This window comes from Homo sapiens, chromosome 7, assembly GCF_000001405.40.
Source record: "Homo sapiens chromosome 7, GRCh38.p14 Primary Assembly".
NCBI classification, from domain to species: Eukaryota; Metazoa; Chordata; class Mammalia; order Primates; family Hominidae; genus Homo; species Homo sapiens.
The window spans coordinates 132,783,197-132,807,563 of NC_000007.14; the positions used below are offsets into that span (position 1 = coordinate 132,783,197).

Sequence of the window (24,367 nt, forward strand, 5' to 3'; positions counted from 1 at the left end):
ACACTCTTCCCAAGCAGTGGTCTGGAAAGCTACTGTGACCTGGCAGAGCTGTGATGCCATCAGCAGGGAGCTCTCCAAGGACGGAGAGAAAGGCATCATTTCATCCTTTTACTTCCCCAAAGCGCTGGCTTTTGTCTTGCACCTACCATGCTTATCAGAATGATAAATTAATAAGCAATGCTGGGAGGAGCGGCCTGTCGAACCAACCCCCCTTCCCCTGGATTTCGCCCACTTTAGACGCCTGACTCTACAGCGCTGCATTTGCCTGCCAGAGGCAAGACTGGCAGCCTGGGATGTGCCAAGTGCTTGGCTCTCAATTGCAAAACAAAACAGTATAGGAGGGAATTTGTGAGTTAGCTGATTTGCAAACACTAGAGCAAGTCGCCATGTAAACATTTGTTTTTGTGTCTCTCAGGTTTTTCCATTTCTCTCAGGCAGCTACCTGGATGCCACCCTGACAGCATCAAAATGTGCTGCTCCTCAAGTTACCAGTGAATCCTTATTCACACTGAAATAAACTCAGCTTCTTTCAGACCATTAAAAAAGAAACCTGAAAGCCCCCCACAAAACAAAACAAAACAAAAAAACCCAAACAAAAAAAACTTCATGAAGCAGTCATCACAGAGGATATCAGTAATTATGGCAGGAGAGCCTCTAGTGTTGCTCAGAATCAACGTTAGGCCAGCAGGTGTGTCCCCAAGTGTCTATGAACATGTCACTCGGAGGGAGCCATCGCCTGGGGAACCTGAATGAATAAGCAGCTGCAGTTACACTCACATGCGTTGGCTGAGACTGTTCCATCACAAGTACATCCAACTTTAAATAAAAGGTACTTGGGCATGTGAATACGTTCTATGCCCCCAACGCCAAATGCCAGTTTACTGAATCATCACACAAGCCAGCATTTACTGGGTCTGACCAAACGTATGCGGTGAGTCAGCATTTGGACTCTTCACTGTAAGCCTAAAAATTAGTTCTTCCATTTGCCCCCTTTTTGCAGTTGAAGAAGTATTGGTTGACTTGGTTGAATTCCACAGCAGAGCCAGAATTTGTACACAGATTAAGAATACAGAACCTGTATTTTGCTAAATTCACTTGCTTCGTAATAAAATAAAAATCCTACATGACAAAAGACACTTAAAGGATATCACAGAGCACTGGTACTCCTATGTCTGAAAAGAACCTTCTCATTTAGCTTCAGTGTGACTACTTATTTCCAACTCACTCAACTCCAGGGTTGAAGCACCAATCATGGTTAAAAAAAAAAAAAAAAAAAAGGGAGAGTTATAATCAGGAAGTTTTGAAAAATTGGAAAGAGGAAAAAAAAACCTAATGGTTGAATTATTTTCTTTAAACGTTTTTTAGTATTGCAGGGTCAGAAGGTCCTAACCAAGGTTATCTAATCTAGTTCTTGCCCCAGGCAGGATGACTTAAGTCATCCCAAAGAAAGGAAAGTTCACACAATTTGTAAAGATCTTCCCGAATTCTACCTACCTGATAGGCAAGTTATAAGCATCACTTGCCTGTCGGAGGCTCCACGAAATGCTCTGGAGCCTTTGAGAGGAAAGGTACAGCACAAATGCAAATTATTAACAATATAAATCAGCTCAATTCCCGTAAGCATAGACATCTAACCCAGCCAAAGGAATGTGTGAGGAGCTACAATGCCAGTCTTTGTCAGAAAATATATTTATTATTGATAGTGAGTGAAGTAAAGATGTGAGTATTCACTATAGAGGTTTTATCAGCCAAGGTTGCCTTCATATTGATAAAAATACCTTATCTCACTTGTAATCATAAACATTATTCCAGTAGAAGAGGTACATTTTCTCTCCTTTTTGTCTTCTTGCCTGTATAATCACCATAATAAGTTATAATGAAATAGCTCTTACATAATCAAAGGAGAAAAGAAAGACAAAACCAACATGCCACAGCCTAGACAATTCCATCCAGCACTGCTGCCTCCAGATCTGTTTTCTGGCTCTCTCCACCCAGCACTGCTGCCCTCGGATCTATGTTTTCTGGCTCTCTCCTCGCCCCACTCCAATTAATTTAGCCCCCAACCCCATCCTACTTTGTTAGGGTGGAGGTTCACCAAATGATGGGGCTTGTTCAGAAGAGAAACATTTTATGGTCAGTGCAAGTTGAATAGAAAGTACCAAAAGGTGGAGAGGGCTGCCCTTCTCTTTTAATCATCATAAGAGGGTTTACTAATACTCAAGAGTGTCCTTTAATGACTGATCCCTGATCAAGGCTTTGGCCCTTCAAACTGCTGCTGTTCAAAACGTGAAATGATTCTGCTGAATCCATTCTTGATGTCTCTCTTTAGTGGTCTTCTCATTAGTGGTCTTCTCTTCAAATGGGTTGTTTTCTCACTAGGAAAAAAAATGTTCCATCTCTGGAATTAACGTTGATGGTGTTTTGCTCATTCTGAAAGTTTTTATCCTCCCTTCTCAAGCATGCTCTGCAAGAAAAACAGAAAGAGTAAGTTTTACCACCGGGAGAGGACAAAAAATAAATGGCACTAACTATTTAGTATGATTTGTGTTGCTTTTCAAATATCTAATTTTAAAAACACAGAAAACAAGGCATATGCTTCCTGTTCTCAAAATATTGCTCCTTTAATCAACACCATTGCTTTATCAATATGATCTTTAAATGACCCCTCTCACCACCACATGGGTTGAAAACCCCAACAAGGCCGGGCGCAGTAGCTCACGCCTGTAATCCTAGCACTTTGGGAGGCCAAAGTGGGCAGATCACTTGAGCCCAGAAGCTTGAAATCAGCCTGGGCAACACAATGAAACCCAATCTCTACCAAAAACAAAAACATTAGCTGGGCATGGTGGTGTGTGCCTGTAGTCTCAGTTACTCGAGACGCTGAGGTGGGAGGATCCCTTGAGCCTGGGAGGCAGAGGGTGCAGTGAGCCATGATCATGCCACTGTACTCCAGCTTGGGCAACAGTCTTTGCTGTCTCAAATAGAAAGCAAAAGTGCTCCTGGTAGGGGCATTTGGAAATGTTGGGAGCATGGCTGATGGATGCAGTGACCGGGGGAAAGCTATGGCCAAGGCAGTGCAGGGATCAAACCCCAACTCCAAAGGCTCTGAGAGGGAATCTCTTCATTAGAGAAACACAAGATTCCTTCCCAGAGGGGGAGAACGCAGATGTTCATGTGCTCATGAGGCTGGACAGAGCTACACAGATTGGTACCTATTCCCAGATTGCAGAAATGGTCCCTACATTCTATTTAGTTATTTATTTGGGAGATGAGGATGTAGATAGGAAGAATTCTTAACTATCAGATGAGAACTCTATAACCAGCTGAAATGGGGGTATACTGCCTTCATTTTTAGAGGTCTTTAAGAAGAAAAAAGTGATACTTTCCCCTCTAGTTTTGCAACCACTCAGAGAGGCAAGGTGAGGCCGAGGTTGCCTCTAGTTTATCCATTCCCACCTGCCTCCCGCCAACCCGCACCCTTCCAGCCATCTCTTCATTGAGCTCCTACCAGGTACCACTGCACTCAGTTTAGTGCATTGGGGAAACTAATACATACACCTGTGGAAAATTCAGGAATAATAAAAGGTAATAATTTGCTAATTTTTATTTATTTGCTAAATACATGCTAAAATTTATTGTGTAAACAGCATAACATTTAACAGGAACCAAATAGTATCTGGTAGAAAGTAATTTTTTCCTTCCGTTTCCCAGTTTCTGTGTCCCCTTCCAGAGATGGTCACAGTTCACAAGAGGAATGGTTCTGCCTGGTGCAGAGGGCAACCCTGTAGCTGGAGCGAGCAGGGAAGGCTTCTCCAAGGACCTTCCACCATGGAGAGAATCCAGGTGGAGGACTGGGGTGGGACTGGGAGGAGTGAGGGGAGAAAGCGGTGGCCAGGATTCAGCAGGGGAAGAAGCCTAGCACACACAGAATCCTGAGGGGAGAGGCCTAGCTGGAAGAAAGGGTACATGCTCAGGACTGACCAAGAGAAAGGGTGGAAAGAGGGCCCAGGACGGACGCCAGGCTGAGACATGTCCTGCTAGCCACAGAAAACATGGAGGAATGCTTTTACATAGGAGAATGGCATTTAGGAATGTTAACCTGACATCCTCAGCATGATGGATCCAACAGAGGGGAGTCTGCAGGCAGGAAGCCCAAGGAGGAGGCAGATTAGAAACCAGACAAAGGTGGAAACAAGAACTAGAGCTACATGGGAAGAAAAAGGGAGATGGTGACACCCAAGGTATGGGAGGATCCTTGGTGACAAAGACAGTGATGGGGCCACCAAGAGAAACAGGGAAGTCAGTGGGAGCCTGGGAAGGAGGAGGATGACTTAAATTTTGGGTTTGTGAGGCAATTTTGGGTGAGACATCCAAAATGGAAATGTCTAGAAGGACGCTGTAGGCCCTCTGAGGTCAAAGGTCTCTAGACACAACAATTTAGGGTCAAAAATTTAAAAATGATTGAAATTAAGGGGACAGAACAGAAAGAGTAGAAGTCAAACAAGATGGTGTATTGGGTCATAGGAGCAAAGGGTGGATAGATTATCCTAAAGTGTTCATCATTATAGGTTTCTAAGAAGTCTATGTCATAGGGCACAAAAGAACAGATATAAAGGCAGACAAACTTAGACATAACACACACAGTGGTGAGAAAAACAATGATTCTGTCATACAGGAGGTAAATTAGAAAAGCTAGATGCATTTAGGGAAAACAGGAAAAACAAAGTAGGTGCAGTGGAAGATTGCTCAGCAGAGAGTTGTCCTGTAAGAACTCATACTGGAATGTGAGGCACCAGCCCCATGTTCGCTGGGAAAATAACACGCTGAGCACCCACCATGTAAGAGACACCACCTGGCAGTGTCACAGCGTCACAGCATCTCAGCTATGCTCACCTGCTTATGAATTGATCTGTGTGAGCCTCTCCAATCACATAGATGATAAGTTCTATAAATTCCAGATATATAGACAACCTCACTACATCATGCTTTATTAAATACAAAATGGAAGCCAGTATCAAGCAGATCTATACTGAGCCTATCTAAGGGAATGCAGTTACTAGAGAAAGTGATCTCTTTATAAATGATGCCACTTAGCCATTTGCATTTGGGGGGGTTATAGATTCACTGCTTTCTTCAACACACTGATGGGAGCTTTGAGTTGTCATCTGCCTGGTCAAGATTACATAGCTGTACCCCTCTCTACAATTTTGGGCTTAGGGTTACAAGGATAACCACATGACAATGTACCTCCTTTCAAATATTGCAAAATAACCTGCAGCTGCCACAACTTAAGGAAAGCAACAGTTAAAGAGTGTTTTCACGAGTCTAGAGATTGTTTTTACTATTCTCTCTGCAACCTCAACCAAATATAGATGGGTAATTTTTCAGCCAAATCATATCATGCTAAGAATGTTAGGCTCTCTTTCAGAAAGAGACAAGATGGGGCCTGGCTGGTCTGAGGATGAGCAGGCCAGTCTCACATAAAGACACTAAAAGAAGTAACATTTTAATAACCCCTTTAGCCACATTCACAAAATACCGTTACATGTATTAAAATTCTAATCCTCCAAGATAGCACAGTGGTTCAGCTGATTTGTGGTGACTCCTTGAAGACATGTGGGACCACCACAGAAAAGCACCAGGGCTGATCTATAAACATTTTGTCAAACTGCACTCACTTGCTACCAAAGGGTGGCAGGGGTGGTACAAAACCATCTCAATTCTATCAGGGAAATTAACAAACACAATGGCAGGCTGGATTTTTAAAAAAGATGAATTCATCTGTCAAACATTTTGGGTTATTATTATATTCCAGCTATGCGACAAAACCTGCTCCAACTCAGAACTCAGGGCTTTTGGCTGGAGGGATCCGTAGTCTGGTGGGGTCTGTGTTATTCAGCTTTCACCTTATAGGTTCTACTGTCTCTGTATTGGTTCCGTAAGTACTGCTGTTGGGCTGAATTTCAACGCTGCATAAATTTAACACTGCATAAATTAACATAGGAAATTCCCTAAAGAATGAGGGAGAAGCTTTGCAAGTTATAAAAAATTGCTTCCTTCATTTAAGGAACTGCTAACACTTAATCTTAATGTGGAGAAAGAAATTCCTTGCTTTTGCTCATCATTCACGTATCTGGGCCTGCAGAAACTCCTTTTATAAACAGCTGGGTAAATCACCAAAAGAAGAGAGTGGTTCAGGCATGAACACTGCTCTTTTCCCAAGTCTTTTTCTCATTCCAGCCACTGAAGAACAACCGGCAGCTCACAAATAAGAACAGCGCCCCTGGAGACCTGAGATTGCGTGTCATTTCCGCTTATTAAAACCTTACTAACCATCCTAACCGCTTGCCTCAAATATTTCTGTTAAGCAGTAATCTCATCAACTGATTTTTGAATCACAGCTTTCTTGGAGGGGTTGACTATCATAGCAGCATGCCAGCTACTGGTTGTGTTGATAATTTAAGAGAAATGATGGCAACCCTGGGTTGCTAACCAATCATCATGAAGAGAAGAAAAGCGGTTTGTTTTTTAAGATACCACTCAGGGTGCTTGTCTCTGGATGAACTTACCCAGCGCCTCACCAAGACTTCAGGCCTCATAAAGCTGGGTAGAGAAGCAGGAAGGTCTACCTAACCAAGGAAAAATGAAACTGGAGATGTGTCCTGGCACAGACCTGGTCTTAAGACACGAGTTTTACTAAGGAGGGTCAGGAAAAGTGGGGAGTGGGAGACACTGGAGCTTCGATGAGGAAAAAGCCAGAATGAGAAGACTGTGCATAAGACAGGAAGGAAAAGTCATCTATAAATTGAATTTATGGGAAGCACAAAGCGAGTTTTGCCTGTGCACCAAGTACTGTTCTTCACTACCTGGAAATCTGATTAGATCACTTATTTTGTTTTCAATATGTGTCTATTCCCCTGCAGCAAGAGCTGTTTGTTCTTTGTTCCTCCTGCTTTGGAGGAAATAGAAGTTAACTTTTTTCTGCCTGGATCTTGTTTTATATCTTCTATGACAAATGCTCTGTATAATATTCAAATTAAGTTACAAGTAATTAACTGTTTATACAGCTGGCTGCAATAACAGACAAAACACTAACATACTGCAGTTCTAATTGAAGGATGACCATGGGAAAAGAAATACCTATTAAGAAAAATGAAAATCTATTACCATGGTAGTATTTCTTCTATTAAACTCAGATTTAAAAAAAGAGAAAATGTCACGAAGCAACGATTACTCTCAGAAAGTGGTTTAGAAAAGGATTCCTATGATGGAAGAGGTTGGGATAGGAAATTTAAAGTTTGGAATTTTGTTTGCTTTGATCTGACTCTAAATTCAAAGGGCTGCCCTACCAAAAAAATGGGAAATCTATTATGAAATACCCACGTGTCAGTCACCCTGTGACCAGCATCCCAGCTGGGCAATTAATAAATGTCATCAAGCGATAATGATAAAGCAGCTTTCGAACACAATAAAAACATGCTCCTGGGGGGCTTCCCAGAAAGTTAACCTTCTTGATTATCTTCGTGCTCTCTGAAAGTGGCCACCGTGTACATCGGGGGGACCCTGATGTGGGTCGGGGAGAGAAGCAGGGTGACTGGGAGCAGTAGAACCAAGGGAGGGTCTGGTCACAGCTGTGAGCTAGCCAGGGGACTGGGGTCACCTACTGTTTCAATGGGAGCAAGAGAAGAGGGGAAGGGGATCTCTTTTCAAGGCTTCCATCTGATTCCCACATCATCTTCCAATTTGTTCTTAAGGCTAAAGATTCATTCCTAGGGTTGGTCTGATGAGACCTCTGCCAGGTAGCTTTGACCTATAGGGAGTGATAGCTCCCCATCTCCCAAAAGATGGAAAACAAGGACTTGGCAGGACCTCTGAAAGGTCAAAGACCTTTAATGCAATTCAGGCCAATGGGCTCTAAGAGCAATGGTTTTCAAACTTTGGGTACAGAGTCTCCTGGGAAATTTGGTCAAAGTTCAGATGCCCAGGCCTCACCCCAGACCTTCTGAATCAGAATCTCCAGGGATGGGGATTGGGTGGGTACATTTTAAGCAAACCCCTCAGGGGATTCTGATGCTCACCCACATCTGAGATCTGACACGACAGGAAAAATACCCTGGTTTTGAATTTAAGAGTGGGCTGTTTGGTCTGGGTTCTGCCCTTCTACAGATCATTTAAATTCTCTGGAAGCTAATTTTGCACATGAAAAAAATGAGGTTGGGTTATATGATCTCTAGGGTCCTTTTAGCTCCAACAGCCTATAAGTCTATTAAATCATTTGCATCTAATGTAGAGTTCATCTGAAAACAATGATAACATACAGCTTGCTCTGGCAATAGGTTTTTCTTTCAAGAACCTTGATTTTTAAGCAAAAGCTACTACTATGTTTTCAGGACCCCTTCATACTCAAAATATGTCACAGACTTAGGAGCAGAATCCTGGTCTAATATAAATACAGTTCACCGGGGAGATGAAATTGTCCTTCAGAAGGCGGACAGAAATTGTGCCAGGGCAAATTCCTCCATATGCACTGATCTTGAGGCTTTGACTTAGGAAGCCAACCAAATACTGGAGATGTCAATGATATTTTAGAAACGAGACAACGGGGTGCACTAGCCTTAAGTTGGAGAGCTGTCACATTAGGATCTAGCCTCATTTACTGGGTCCTGACCCCAAGTTCCTCACTGTGGCCAGGTTCCTTTCTGATCTCTCCAAAGAGATCAGCAGGAAGCATGTAGGTCTGAGGTGGGGCTGTCTCATTTACAAGACGTCCTTATTGTGAGCTGAACTAACTGTTTGCGTGGCTACTGTCCCACTGCCTGCTTACTGACTGAAACTTCTGCTATGGTTTGGGGGACCCCTGACAGACTCATCATCTAACTGCAGGTCCCACACTGACCTCTGTCCCTTGGGCATCTCCTGGGGTTGGTCCTTGCCTCTGGTCCCAGTTTGCCCTTGGTTGTCAGGCTCCAGGTTCCTGGCTTCCTGCTCTGTTTTCAGAGTCACACTTCCCATGGTACTTCACAGGATGAAAGGCATCACGATCCAGGGGAGGCTTACGGCTGGCTGGAGGGAGCCTGCATTTTCTAATGGCCTTTATTAGCCGGCAGGGTACATTCTGCCAGCCAGTGCAGAGACAGCTGTTTTTCACTTCACTGACTTTGGAGAAACTGTGAAACTGTTTCTATTCCCTCCCAGTTCTTTCTGCCACCTTGGCTTCCCCAGGGCTGTCAGGAGTGTGAACCTCAAAGAAAGGGTACGTAGCAGTGGGAGGCCAGGCAGCAGCAGACCAATCAGAAATGCAAGTGTTCTTCTTGAGTGAACGTTTAAGGTGGACAGCAAAATTTAAGAGGCGAAGGCACAAATACTGGAGGTCTCAAAAGGAGAGGTGCTGCTTGTACCAAATAGGCCATGTCTCTTCATCTGAGTGCGCCTATGAACAGGCATGCTTATGCACACCATCTTTTGCTCTATATACTTCAAAGCAGAATCAGTCCTAGAATAACAGAGCTAGATGGCCCTCATGGATCACCTGGTTCAAACCTTCAGTTTATCAAAGCAACTGAAGCTCAAGTCACTATAATTAGATTAGGATTGCAGCAGCAGTATTTCCTATAAACCCCACCCTCCCAGTGAACACAAAATGTGCCAGAAGGGTCCAGCCAGCTTCTGCATTTTTCTGTCAATAGCAGCAGGGCTGGGAAAAAGCTGAAATGCTTAGACTAGCAACTCCCAATGCAGCCCAATTCTACAAGTAAATAGTAGAGAGGTGGTATGTCCCAGGGAATGGTCCCAGACGTAATGCAGATCTGACAGCAAACCCTTTCGACACCCTTCCCCTTTTTTAAAAAACAGAACTTGGGCACATTTTGGTCTACCCATGAGCAAATACTATTGGCTTCTCATTCCCGCTCCTTTCCATTTCTCCTGTAAGGTAGGTGGTGTGCATAAGCATGCCTGTTCATAGGCACGCTCAGAGGAAGAGACATGACCTATTTGGTACAAGCAGCACCTCTCCTACCTTAGGTAGGTGTAGCAAGATAGAATGGGAACCAGGTATCAAAGGTAAGAAGAGGTAATCCAATCTTGCTGAGCTTGAGAAAGTTATGAGGCTAAGCAGATATGAGAAACAAAAGACACAGGACTATGTATCAATCGATGTGCTCCTTCCTTTGTAAATGCTGTATCTCATACAGCCAGCCAGCTGGTAGCTTTTAAGTCTTAGAAATAATAATTAGAGCTATTTAATATCTCTTTACCCTCATGAAGAGCACATAAGTTAATACACAAGAAATAATAGCCTAAATGTCTCATGTCAACCCATGAGAAATTGTTGAAGAACAGCTGAAGAAACACTGATATGAATAAGTGGATAAATAAGCAGAGAGGAAGAGTAAGGCTAAGGAATATCCGGAAATTTTCCTAACAGTAAAACCTATTAGTCTCTAGAACAATGCCCCAGGGAACCCGTGAAAGGCCAATCTTATGAGTTATTTAAAAGTGGAGTGGACTTAGCCATTGGAATTATTCCATGGGGGAAACCCTTGCACTGTGTCGGATATGGACAACACTGCCTAATGGCTTGTTGTCATGTATAGTATTTTCCATGTTTAGCATGTCCAGCTTGTTCTCTGGATTTAACAGGAAACATAAGAAGAAAATGTAAGAAGTTGGCCCATGAGGAACTGCTAAAATAGGCAGTCGGGACTACGTATCTTGCCGGAGTCTCTTAACAGGGGCACAGCTGGGGTCATGAGGTTAGCCTAAATTCACAAGGAGCAAAAGGACAACCTGGTATTGGAAGGAAAGTAACTGCTCATGAAACACTGATAGAAGCTCCTTCTGGCCACTGTGGCGTGATCTTAAAATGGGCCAGTGCCAAGTTGCCCCTTTCATCACGGGCTTCATCAACCCACTCCCCATGTGTGACCTTCAGACTCTGTCCCCCGCTCATTAGATCTTCCACATTCTGTGTCCTCCCTTTATCGCTTTCGCTCTCACTTTCCCTTACTGCCTTATTTCTGCATTAGTGGATGATGGATGGATGCCCCTTCACAAACTTACCCACTCAAAAACCAAATGCCACTTATGTATTTTGAAATTTTTTGTTTTTATGGCAAGGTACATCTTGGTCTAGCTGTTAAATTCACTATTGTGACTTCCCTGAGTTTCAATGCTCTCAACTGGAAAATGGTGAAAATAAAACCATCTCTATTTACATCTCAGGTTGTCATAAAAAAACAAGTAAAAGAATGGATGTGAAATGACCTTGCAATCCTAACTACTGCCGAAATGTAAGGTGGTGCAGGTTCTTGGTTCTCGTCCATTTCAATGTTGCCCATCTCAGGAAAAAAGGTTTGAGGGCTTCTATCTTTTTATTATTAACTTGTATTATACACCTCCTAATAACTGAATATAAGAGCCACGAAAACAATAGATACTCCAAACATACTAGCTGAACATAAAAGATTGGAGAGTGAGGGGGAAAAAAGAGGGTCTCTTTTGAAATCATTAATAATAATTTGATGCTTTTGGCTGACCTGTTTAGTAAATTTCAGCACAATAATGCAACTGAGGAAAGAAGGGGAAAAATAAGATTTACTGAATACTTTATATAAAGGTAATCCTCACAACATTACCCCAATTTACAGATGAGAAAACTCAAGCCCCAAGGTCACAGAGCTGGTAAAAGGACAGGGTACAAACCCAGGTCTGCCAGATTCAAACTCACTATCGCGCCATGTGGCGTATTTGCTTTTGTCACAAGTTAACTTTGCTTTATCCTATAAATATATACCATTGATGTCACAAGACTATATGTAGATAATTCAACACAACCCAGACAGGCAGGATGGGGTCAGCACTCCCAATGCCCCTGCAGCTGCCACTGTGGTAATGTTACAAATCACATGGTACAAACAGGCACGTATGTTAGAGACCAGCATTGAAACATACACTTTGTCACAACCACTCTTTTCCACTGACCACCAGCTCAATAAGGCACTATTATCAAGTTAGAAAAATCCATGAATCAACCTACGAGTCTCAAGTCCTTCAGTTCATATTCATATTGAAGGCTGGGGTTTATTAACAGCATATCAGAAGCTGTTTTCGACAAATAAAACGTACTAACTTAACATTAGCAACATTACCTGTACCAAAGACCTTTAATGAAAAGGATCCCTGGCATACTACTAAGAGTTATACAAGTGCAGCTACAAGCAAGAAACAGAAAAAAGCTGCCAGCCACTAGGCTTTTGAGGACAACATAGGCTTTTAATAAATCTTGATTATATTCTTTCCACTAATGTTACTTTATTTTCCAGCTATCCAGATAATACTAACCCTCCCGTCGGATATTTGTAGAGTATAAAAATTTTACACCAAGTGATATTATTATAACTACATCAAATTAGACTGCAGAAAGGCATGCTGTGTAACTTAAACACTAGATTTAGTTGGGTTAGAAGGTCAAATCTATGGAGTTTGTCAGCAGAAGGAATCAACGTTTCCAACAATTTCTGCCTCTCAGAACAACCATATCCAACTGTTAAATTGGTTAAATGATAGGCAATTATGTGACCTGCCAGAATTGATAATTTGCTTCAGGGTTTATCATTAGCTTTCTAAAGTACATAAATTAGAGAAAATGCACGTCCTGTGAACATCATATTGTTCTGATATGAAGGGTCAAGAGAAGAATATGGCTATGGTCTATAAAAGCAGTGGAAATTCTTTTTAAAATGCTATCTCTGGTTTCCCTTTCCCTGTCCAACTAAGTGAACTCTATCAACTGGTGGAAGCGTTGGACAGTGACTGAACGGTGGTGTTTTGTTTTTTTTTTAACCTGGCCCTCTGCCTACCTACGGCTTATGGGCCCAAAGGTGCCAGCTCTTAATCTGTATCCTCTTCGCTAGCTCTAAATATTGGCCTAAAAGTATGAGGAATGACCTTGGGAACATTATTATTAGAAGACAAAAGTTCAGGGCAAGTGGAAAAAAGTATAATTGTAGTAGAATCCTTTTTTCTGCAAGTAAATGAGTTGTACATAAGGAAGATATGGGCTCTTTGACAATGATCGGACACAAGTTATGCCCTAATCAACTCATTACAGTAATTCTTGATGATGATGACTAGGGCTTAGAAAGCTTTTTCACACACAGTGGCCCATTTAGTCCTTACCACTGCCCCAGGTCATCCAGTTTTCAATTTGCCCAGTGCCCCCAGTGGCCTGGCTGGCACACCTACCTGTTTGGCATGATTGACACAGTGCATATACTGGGTGGCCAGAGCGGAGCATTTGAGGGTCTGGTGGGTGTTCTCACGGTAACACTGAAGAATTTTGGCCTGCAGATCAGCACAGACTGGATGAGACTCATATCGCCTGAAAACAAACACAGGGACCGCTGAGACCAATGGTCTTCATTCAGAATAAAAATCAAGGTTAAAGAACACATAAAACGCACAGTAAGACACAGATGTTGCAAATGTAGAAAAAGGTTTAAGAGAAAGAATTTTCCTTAAACTTCAAAGATAGCTAAATTTTTCCCATGATAAAAATGACAAAGGGTAAATAAATTCTAAGAAATTAGTTCCACTAATTGACACTACTGTGAGTTAGTCTGGACAATATAACCATCCCTTCCAAACCGAAACCATATCAACATGCCAGAAACTTGGAAGCCCTAAGTTCTCTCTTCCATTCCCATATCCACTTGGTCACAAAGTTGGAGATCCCTACGGCCTGGTCCTCCTGCTCCACACTCACTGTCGTTACATTGCTTCCAAGTGAGCCACATCCTGAATTCAAGAAACAACCTCCCAGCTGGTCTCTCAGCTTTGACACCCTCTACTCCTGCCTGCACACACCTTCCAGAGGGTTCTTTCCCATAGGAAATCGAAGATGGTCTCTTTTCCCAGCACTTTCTACACAAAATACAAGGCCAGCTGGCTGGTCCTTCTTGACCAGGTTCCTGCCTACTCTGTGGCCTTCACCCCCCAACCCTGCACACAGCTGAAGCCTGGACAAACCCAATTCAGGGTTTCGTTCTTACACTTCTCTTCAAGTCTAAGCTCATGCTGCTCTTGCTTCTGGAAATGCTCTACGCCCAAACTCCCACCTATGCCTCTATATCTGGAAAAAACCTACTCATCCTTTGATACTTCACTCAAGTGTCAGCTTTCATTAGCTCTCCACCCCCCAACCCTGGTACAGTCTATCATTCCCTTTATGGTGACCCCATTGGTCCCGTATTCACTTTTCTTGCCATGCATGTGACACTGACTACACCATAGTCTAATACAATTTAGCAACCTACATTTACTAGAATGTAAATTCCAAGGACTGTGACTTATTTTCTTTGTTACCTCAGCTATTAGACATCGGAACCCTACAGAAGTCATGTAATACATTTACTGAATGAATACAAATCGGTGCAAAGAAAACATTTTAAAGTCCCCTGGGTTAAAATTTTGCTACTTATACTTACAAATCTCAGATTTTAGTCAGATTGCTTCTGTGAATATGTGAGACCAAATGTAAATGTTTCCAAAAACCTTATAATATATGCTTGAAAAATGATAATGAACCAAATGAGTTATACGAATGAAGGTAAAATATTCTGATTAATACGGCAGGGAAGTTTGGACTGCAAGGATTAAATACATACAGAGAAAAAAAGCACAATATTACTACTTTTAATCTTGAAATTCGTGTTTTTTCAAATTAGTCTTAATACAAGAAGCTTCCAGTCTTATCACTTCTATTTTTGAAATTTAAATTTGTTATTTCCATAGTAATCTTGAAATCACATTATTTTAAATTTAATGGGTTCAAACAAAACCCCTAGAGAACACAGGGGGAATATTTCTCATCAATAAGGAAACGCCTGGGTGATGATTTGTCTCATTATTTTTATCCAGTACACTAAGCTAATATATATTTTACTAGAATAGAAATGCAAAGCATGTTGGTGGTTCCCTGACTTCCTACTATCCTCTAAAGAACACAGACATACAGAGAAAAAAAAATGTTTCAACAATTTTTCTATAACATCACTTTTACTTTTTCATTCATTACCTTACTGCTTTGTCAAATACCTAAGAACAGAATTAAATAGAATCCCAGGAGTTTCCATGCTTTAAGATTTCAAACTTCAGATGTCTGTGAATTTTTCTGGACACAGATTTCCCTAATCCTTTACCACGAACATCAGGATTTAAAAGGAATCAGCCGTGCTTCAAAGAGTATAGGCACAGATACCACTAAGTGACTAATTATAGCAAGACCTGCATCTAGATAAATATCGAATAAAATATGATTAAGCATCAGATCAGCTGAACCTAGCAAATACATGACTAATGACTAATAGCTCATAGGAAAGCAAGGTTACATTCTATCCTAGTGTTGACAACTGATCGTGTCTCCAATGTGTCTCAGATTTAAAAGCAGGGGGAAGGAGGTGAGGAGGGAAGGCTAGAACAACCCTGACCAGATATGCAGCCCTTCCTCATTAACATACGGGAAAAGACTGTAAAAATGAGCATCCACACACTGCATGTCATAAAGAAGACAGTTTATTTTTTCCTTTAAAAAGTCTACTCACGATGGGATAATTCACCTCATGTTATGGACTCCTTAGAAAGAGGTAGTTTAAGTTGTAGATAAGCATGTATCCTGGGTTGAGCTATTAGTCATGCAAGTTAAAGTCCATGCGTTATTTATGATTTGAAATGTGTCAAAATATACTTTTATCACCACAAATCAATACTACTCACTTCCAGGGCTCTTGATTTCCTGTTTGGTGATCTGTTCTGTGTGTGTGTGTGTGTGTGTGTGTGTGTGTGTGTGTGTGTGTGCAGTCATCCTCTGAAATTCTTTTTGTACACACTTCAATCTGTATTAATGATTTGATGGTAGAAAGAGGGGAAGAGGAATGGAAATCAGCATAATTGTCCTCCAGCTCCAGGAGTAGACTCTGGGACATTTTCTTGGATTAATCTGTAAGGGTAAAGGTTTGCCTCTGTATTGATCTGTAAAGCTTGTTATACTGCCCTAATGCACTGTTTTCACTTTGGGAAAATGCTAAATGAGATTGCTGTCTAACATTAGAAGGCCATAAAACACAAGCCATGGCACCTTCCATTCAGGATAAAGGTTTCAAAACATTTCCAATATGCATTATGGTAAACCCTCCATATATTCATAGAGTCAGCAATTGACTTTTATTGACTGCTTTCATTCCTGCTGATGGAAAAAGCCCCTATTAGGCAAAAATAATGAAAGGCAGACTTTCAAGATACCTAGGAAGGAAAATTAAGTCTTAGCAGCAAAGGACGATTAGACAAGTTAATTTCTTTGTATGTAAGGAAGAGGCAAAGAAATGGTGAATGACAATGGTAAGAGAAGGATGAAATATAGATTTGGAAAACTTAAAACACTAATAAAGAAGTGGGAAGATCTAATAGTTACTCAAAAACATGTTTAGCAAGAAGAAATCGGTGGAATAGAGTCAACCTTTGAAAATATACATGTAACAAAAACAAGAAAAAAAATCCAGTTTTGTGGTCACTTGAAATTACTGGGAACCTTTCATGGATCCTACCATATGTATGCACATCTCTTTTCTTTTCTTTCTTATACTCTTTTACTCTGCTCTTCCCTTTCTCTCCCCTCATCTCCACAAGCACTAGCAGCCCGCCCTCCCTTTGGCCCTCCCTACCCCACACAGTGGCACCAAAGGCCCAAGGGGTTGCTGACAGTACCAAAGGTAGAACTGGAGTCCCAAAGATTTGACCCCAGAACAAAATCAAAAGAAGCACTTCTGGTAGATATTCTGTAGCCTGTCACCAGTAAAACATTCTTTGGCTAATGTTTAATGTTAATATTCACTTAAAAGGCATCTAAAAAAATATATATCCAAGTATTTTTTCTCCTTATACTAACAGGTCTATTGTAGAAACTTTGGAAAAAGAAAAGAATAAAGATACACATTTAGGCTGTTTCTAATTTTTCACTGCTTAAAAAACATGGTGAAGGACATAAATTATTAACTACCATTTCTGATTATTACCTTAGGAGACTTTCCTGTAAGTTAAATTAACTGATCAAAGAGAAACGAAAACAGTTTTAGCAAAAACAAAGCCAAGGGAGTATTCAGAAGTCCCCTCTTAAGACTCTATAACACAGTTACACTCGGTTATCTGTTTTAAAACTATCTGTTGGTTCCACTGCTGCCTCTATTTTCAAGTCTTAGAACCTTCTTTGATGTGGGTCTGAGCTTTACATTTCAAGAAAACTACTTACCCATCTTTTTAGTTCTGCTAATATTAATGGTAAGGATAATAAGGTAACTTCAGAGAAGGAAAAAATGTGGAGATAACACTCCTCACACCACTCTCCACTCAGAAGGCTAAAAAAATCATGTAATGACAATCAGTTAGCAGCCACAACTCCCAAGGCTCTAGAGGACACTGAAGTCACTCATTACGAGTCTAGGCATGCAAAGAAAGGATCCTTTCCCTGTACCTGAACCAGAAGTATGCTGAGAGAGTTCTACAGATACTATGATGAAATACCAGAGAGAGGGAGAAGAGAGGGAACAAGAAGGAAAGAAGGAGGGAGAGAGAAAATGAAGATGAGAATGGCTGGTGTTAAAAGGAGAATTCTATTTTTTTTTTAACAGGTTCTGATAATGCATCCTTCATGGGATCAGGTGGTCTCATAAAACCATATTTTACACTAAAAGCCGACACACAACACAGTCAGGGAATCAAATCTTTAGGTCTAATTCCTATAGCACAATGCAAAAACTTTAATTTTTTCTCTACCAACTTTTCATTAGCTGTTAAACCCAGTGATCAGGATTTCTGCTTTTCTTTTAAAACACAAAACTAAAGCTACTAGGCACATTGCCAATATTTAAAAATATGTAATCATTCACTTTTGTTTTTCTCATCACTTATAATTAATCTATCGTAAAATGCAATATGAAGGAAGAAAATATTTATCTGAAATGTACTATATTAACTTTTTATTTTTAATTTTACCTTAAATCTAAATATCCTAATATTTGTTTTCAGAGTAAAATGTAGTCTCTAATTATGCAAGATCTGAAAAATTCAATTTTAAGCTTTCCTGACATTCTTAATAACTGCTAACCATTTTATTAATGACATTTCCATTTGAGCTGTAATCAAATTTCCACAATTACACTTCAGAAGTCCCTCTCTAAAGTGGTCCAAACAGCTCCAAAAGCTGCCTGCTTTGTTTCCATTTGTTTTCATATACAATTTGAGATGCTATTTCTTTTGATTACTAACATGATGAATGTTAACTAATATGTTTTCTACCATCACAACACAAAATGCCAAGCAGCCTCCACTGTTACCAGAGAAAGGAATGCCAACCTGGACATCACCTAGCTCAGTACTTAGCTCAACGAACCAGTCACACTGAGAGCAGACTATGACCTGTAATGAGGGCCATACTATTTAATCAAATAGCTACAGCTTGGGCTTTAAAAGAAAAGGTTAGCTTTGGCTAGCTAGAAAACAGAGCATATAAAATTCTATCCTATAAACCCAAGGTTTGAAAGAATAGTTTCTATCTGAAAATACTTTAAGACTTAACATTTTAATTTTAATCCACTGTTGACTTTGGAAAAAGATGTCAGGTTCACAATTCCACAGTCAGATCTACGTGGGGAACGTGACCTGGAGGGCAGGAGGGGAAAGCACTGCCAGCCTTCCACTCCAGTGTTAGGACCCTGAGTAAAAGCCCTAAACCCAGGAAAATCCAAAAGAGAGGACCTCTGGCCACCTATCCCTGCTAAAATGAGCAACAGTACTCTATATACACAGATACACAGTTCTTATGCCAATAGGCCTCATACACCCTAAACAGATGGGTACAAACATACCAAAGTGTAAGGTGAGCAAACAACTTTTCAATTTTGCAATATGTTTTTCTTTTTCAATAATATTGGGTCCTTGGAAATGATGGGGGGCAGGGTGGAAAAACCTAGGAGAGCAGGACTCTAATAACATGTGGCCACGTGACAGCTGGTAGGGGTTGGTGTCTTCTCTGTGGTGCTCAGGGGAGAGTAACACACCCTGACACGATGGGACTCCCCTGCTGCCTGGTTTCTTCTCAAGCCACAGCTCTCATTCTACCCTTCACAGAAAACCCTCTTGGGATCTTGCCAACTGCACCAAACCCTGAGCTGGATCCCACTGTATGGGCTCACCCAGCACAACTGAAGAGCTGGAGAGTTCCTATTCCTCATTAGAGGTCTGAACTTAGGAAACTGGGTCTCCAAAGAATGAGGGTCCCCAGTTTTGTTTAGTTGTTTAACAGGTGGAAGGATTTGGGAAGTCAGACATTTGGTATGAGGTGGAAGAAACAAGCCATTGGCTAATTTTTACTTTCCACCATATCTTGGTGTTCTTGACTTATATTTGGGCTACATATCGCTAAAAAGGGAGATAAAATTTTTACTTAATTCTTACTTAAAAGATACCAGGACTAAGAGGCAATAATTGTACAGAGTTTGGTGACTCAACATAACTGATGGCAACATGAACTCAATCTGGAAGGACCCCAAATAAACTTCCAGATCACATATAATTTAGAACAACCATGTACTCATGGGATGCTATTTTCTCAAGCCTACAAAGTCTTCTCAACAGGCAAAATTCTACAGCTAACAAATTGCGCTTTCGTCTGGGTGGGAAGCCTTTATTTAGAGAGCTATAAGCCATCCCTCCCTCCCTTTCTTTCTTAACAATGCTTGAAATATTGTTATTGCTTAACAAATGTCAAATAATAACGCTGTAATAAAAACAAGCACTAGTGGGTTAACAATGCAGTTTTCTAGCAGCAGTTATATAAAGTATTCTGGGTAGAACTACCTCCTAGCATGCACATAGTGGGAACAGAATAAAATCACAGCCCATAGAAGTAGCCCTTGGTTATAATAATTGCAAATTTGAAGATTATTCTCTTTGTCCTTTCAAAAGATCCACAGGTATTGGAATGAAACTGTTAAATCCGAATCTCCAAAGGATATATCAATGTGTGAATGAGACCAAGTAATCTTAACACAGACCAAACTTTTTATTTGAATATCTCAATTAGGTTTCAGGGTCAAGAAAAGCATCGTTATTATTACTATTATTAAATAAAGGCATGGCATTTACTCTCTCCTGACTTCGTAAAACAACTGTTTAATTACATAACAGAAATATGTTCATCATGAGCCATATACAATGCATCAATCATAGATTTTTCCTTAAATAACTATTTTCTTAAATATCTATATAATGTATTCTACTTATGGTGATACCCTCGAGGCTTTGTGAGTTATTTCCAATCCCTCATGATGCTACTTTGGAATGTTCATCAAAATTGGTCTTAGGATTAAAAACATGAGGGTTGGTTGGTTCATTTATTCCTTTATCTACTCAGTCACTCCCAAAACAGAAGGAAGACAGGAGGAACTGGGATAAGTTGAGGAAAGCAGAAAGATATTAGGAAGCAAAATAATCTATTGGAACTAGAGGAGAAAGGGAAGGAATACACTCTTCCCGGTGGTGGGTTGCTGTGCCCAGCCAGTCCCTCTGTTTTTTCTCCACCTGCACGAATCTGGCAGGTGGAGAAAAAACAGAGGGATTGGCTGGGCACAGCAACCCACCCACTGGGAATGACGAGGGAGAGAAATGGGGAGTTCAAGGCTGGGAACTAAAGCAAACTATGACATCTTGTCTTCGAAGGTAACTTTAATTTCAGGTTCTTGAAGGGGTGGTACTGCCTTTATCACCCATTTTTCCTGCAGAAAACCTCATGTTTAGAAGGTAGATAACTGGAAATAGCCAACACGGGAGTCCCCAATGTAGCCAAGGGACAGGGCACCAGGCCTGGCAATCTACAAGGTTTTTCCAACAAAGGATACTAACAATCAACCTAAGACTTAATGAGAAAACTGAAGGGAACATCAAACATACCCTCCCAGAAATAATCCTTCCCTATTTGGAGAAATACATACTTCATGGACCTTCTTATATCACTTTCCTCAATCTATTATAATAGCTTACAATCACAGACTCTTGCTGTTGGGTAGTATGCAAGCTGCGTTCTGTGCAGAAATATAAGTGGGCACACATTCATGCGGAGCTTCTATTTTTAGGTGATTATAATTTTTCACAAAGAATTGCCCTTTGGGATGAATTTTATATGCTCATTCTCAGCTGAGGGGTGACTCGGGTGGTGCGAAGTTTGGTGAAATTTCATTTGAGTAGTCCATGCATAAAAATACATTCCAGTACCCCTACCTCTTCCCTGCCGTGATCAAATTTAAGAGAGTGCTTTTAATACCAAGAGAAGTCAAGAACAGTTTAATTTTAAAAATTTCAAAACTGTCACATATCTCAATGAGGACTGTGACACATTCTAAAAAACTAGGTTAAGACCAAAATTTAAGTTTGTGGTGAGAGAGCGTGTTACATTACTTTACGTGATACACTTTTTTCTACTACATTTTAAAAGCAAGATCCAAATACCAGATACACACTGGAAGGACTGTGTCTGGCTCCCTTAACTGAAAGAATTGCAAATGTATTTATTTTAGGGACAAGTGAAGAAAAAAAATTATCCATATTGATTTGCCCTTTAAGTGTCAGAGTGCTAAAAATGAAGAGTGGCGGGAGCAGCAGTGGGAGGAGGGGTAGAGTCAAGCCTTTTGTCTGTTTTCCATCCCTATCGGTTACTTGAAGAGGAGAATGCTTAGGCACTGCTACTGGAAGAGGGAAATCCCAAAATGGGGCCAATAGGCCATGCTGCCAAACTTCCTTGGATGCAGTGCTGCGAGGCAGAAAGAATGTCATGTGGACATCAGAGCTGTGCCACTGTGTACAGACTAGGAAGGGGGAGTAAAGGATGTGCAGGAACAAAGGGGAGGGGAGAGAATACTAAATACTCCCCCAAGAAACTTATTTACTGGGGGAGAAACATACACACTCATAAAGGTCACAAGTAACACAAGGCAACCGAAGTGTCAAGGAAACAGTACAGGCAGTATACACTACAGCTGTTCTGAGGGCATAACCATTCTATTGTGCGTGGACAGTGTGGGGGAAGGGGTAGTCTGGGGGGGTTCCAAGGAAGAGAGGAGATGGGACTTTAAAAATCCCACAGAGTGAAGGGCAGGACTGTAAGACTCAGAGGGCGTTTGAGAGGATCTAGGTGAGCTGAGGTCCAGGCTCAATCGAGTCTGGCATATTCAAGGGACTCAGGTTGTAGTAGAGGGTTGGAAGGGTTGGGTAGTGCTAAGAAGGGAGGGGCCGGGATATGGACAGTCTGCCAAGAAGAGACAGCACACCTAGAGTCTATCCTGCAGGTGTTGACAAGCCACTGGCCTTTCTAAATGAGAGGGTGAAGTTATAAAGGTACCATCTTGAGAAGGCGGATCCAGTGTAAAAATAAATCAGATGGATAGAAGTGGAACTCCATGGCAGAGAGGTCAGTGGAGCAGCACCCAGCTATAAAGATGAAACAAGCTGATGAAGAGAATGATCCGGCAAGAATGGAGGCATGGAAAGCAAGGATGGAATGATGTGGTAACTGAGAGGACATGGAAGTAAAGAAGAGGAAGGACTGAGAGAATCACAGGATGGCTTAGGCCTTGGGGATTTAAAGAATAAACATGCTCGAGTAATGACAGGAAGCTCAAGTGGAAATGACACCTCCTCACCACGATCTAAAGCGTGGAGTTGGAGCTCAGCATGATGGCAGGGCTACAGCTGCAGTGTCAAAATGCCCTGCAAGATGTGGTGGGGAGCATAGAGGCAAAGGGCAGAAAGGACAGCAGAAGCTTGGGGAACAGTCCATACCTGGGGGTGACAGGGAAGGAAGATGGAGCAGTAGGGGAACTGACCGTGGAGAGAACTGGTGTAACACAGCATCACAAGGCTGGGGAGACCAGAGTTTCACGACAGAGAAGACAGTCAAAAAGAAGGAAGACTGATAAATGGCCAAGGAATGTGCTCCATAGCAAGCTGGAGAAAGAATCTGAGCAGAGAGCGTGAGGCAGAAGCCAGGTAGAAATTGGTAAAGAAGAAAGTGGGCAGTGAAGAAGAAATGGAGGTGGCAGGATGAGGTCAATTCCATATCCTTTAGAGTGCCTGTGAGATACTAGGCACTGTGGGACAAGACCAAGAGACTGAGTCAGGCAGACCTATCTAGCCCATTAAGAACTGCTTTAAAGGGACACATCTGGCAACAGTAAAATACCAAAGGGAAGGATTACATCTGGCTGGAGATGACTAGGAAAAGTTTTAGATGAGATAATGGAATTTCACTAGGGTCTTCAAGAATGGAAAGGGCTTAGGCAGTTAGACATGGGATACAAAGGCATTCTAGACAGACAAGTAAATGAAGGAAAGGCAGCAAAAGAAGAGAGAAGAAAAGGCTAGAGCTGGAGGCAGTGACATCTCTAACAGACTTTTTTTTTTTTTAAGATTCACATGGAAATTTACATACAGATTAAAGAGCCAAAACACTTTCATCAAGGACACATTCTGCAAGCAGACCATGACATTCCCATCAAGTAGAGGAACCAGTAAAAATGTGCTTAAAAGTTAGGATGTCAGGGAAGGTAGTGTGAAAAGAGTGAGTTTTCAATTCTTTGAAAGAAAGACAAAGAAGGGCAGGCAGAAAGGAGGGCATGGTCCTTGCAGACCTGGTGTGGTTAAGGAATAACACTTCGATTTCCTAAGAAGGGTGTCCACAGTGAAGGATATTACAAAATGAGGCTGGTGAGATGGGGAGGAGTGGAAGGAAATGGTTTGCTGGGTGGGAAACCTCACCAGCTGGGTCAGTGCTCTGATAGCAAGAGGGATTCTGGTGAGTAAGCCCACGCATGAGAAAAAAGCAGTACATGAGAAGAAGGTTCTCCTAAAGGAGCTGGACACAGAACAGCAGAGACGGAGTATGAACTTGGGGGAGGCCCCGCTGCCTGGCCCTGCAGTGGTACCTGAGCAGGTGTAGGGGACCCCATGATGGGAGATGCTCAACGCTGGCAAGGGATACTCCAGGTCCTCTCTGCCCCCCAGGCTGTACTTTCCACTACAGCATCTAATTTTACATATAAGGTAAGTATATCTAAGGCAGGAATATATTTACTCATTTACTGATGGGCTTCACCTCACACTTATACTGAGTGTCCAGTACTTCCAGCCCAAGTCCTTTCTTGCTCTCCAAAACAGACGTGCAGTAAAATGAATGGTTAATGAGTAATGGAAAATGGAATAAGAGTTTATGGATGCTAGACAGCAATGATTACTTATTCTGCATGAGCTCATGATTTCACAAGTT

General features: G+C 41.5%; 1 protein-coding gene across 4 annotated transcripts in view; it reads right to left on the bottom strand.

Annotated features, from left to right (window-relative positions):
- Positions 1–1,673: 1,673 nt before the first annotated feature.
- CHCHD3 (coiled-coil-helix-coiled-coil-helix domain containing 3) overlaps positions 1,674–24,367 on the bottom strand; it is a 297,221-nt gene continuing 274,527 nt past the window's right edge. For all 4 annotated transcript variants that reach the window (NR_133671.2, NM_017812.4, NM_001317177.2 and 1 more), the window contains 2 exons: positions 13,246–13,381; positions 1,674–2,464 (listed from right to left, as the gene is read on the bottom strand). Coding sequence is in view for 3 of the 4 variants with exons in the window: in NM_017812.4 (NP_060282.1) it covers positions 2,441–2,464; positions 13,246–13,381 (160 nt within the window). In the remaining variant the exon portion in view is untranslated. The remainder of the gene's footprint in view (positions 2,465–13,245; positions 13,382–24,367) is intronic.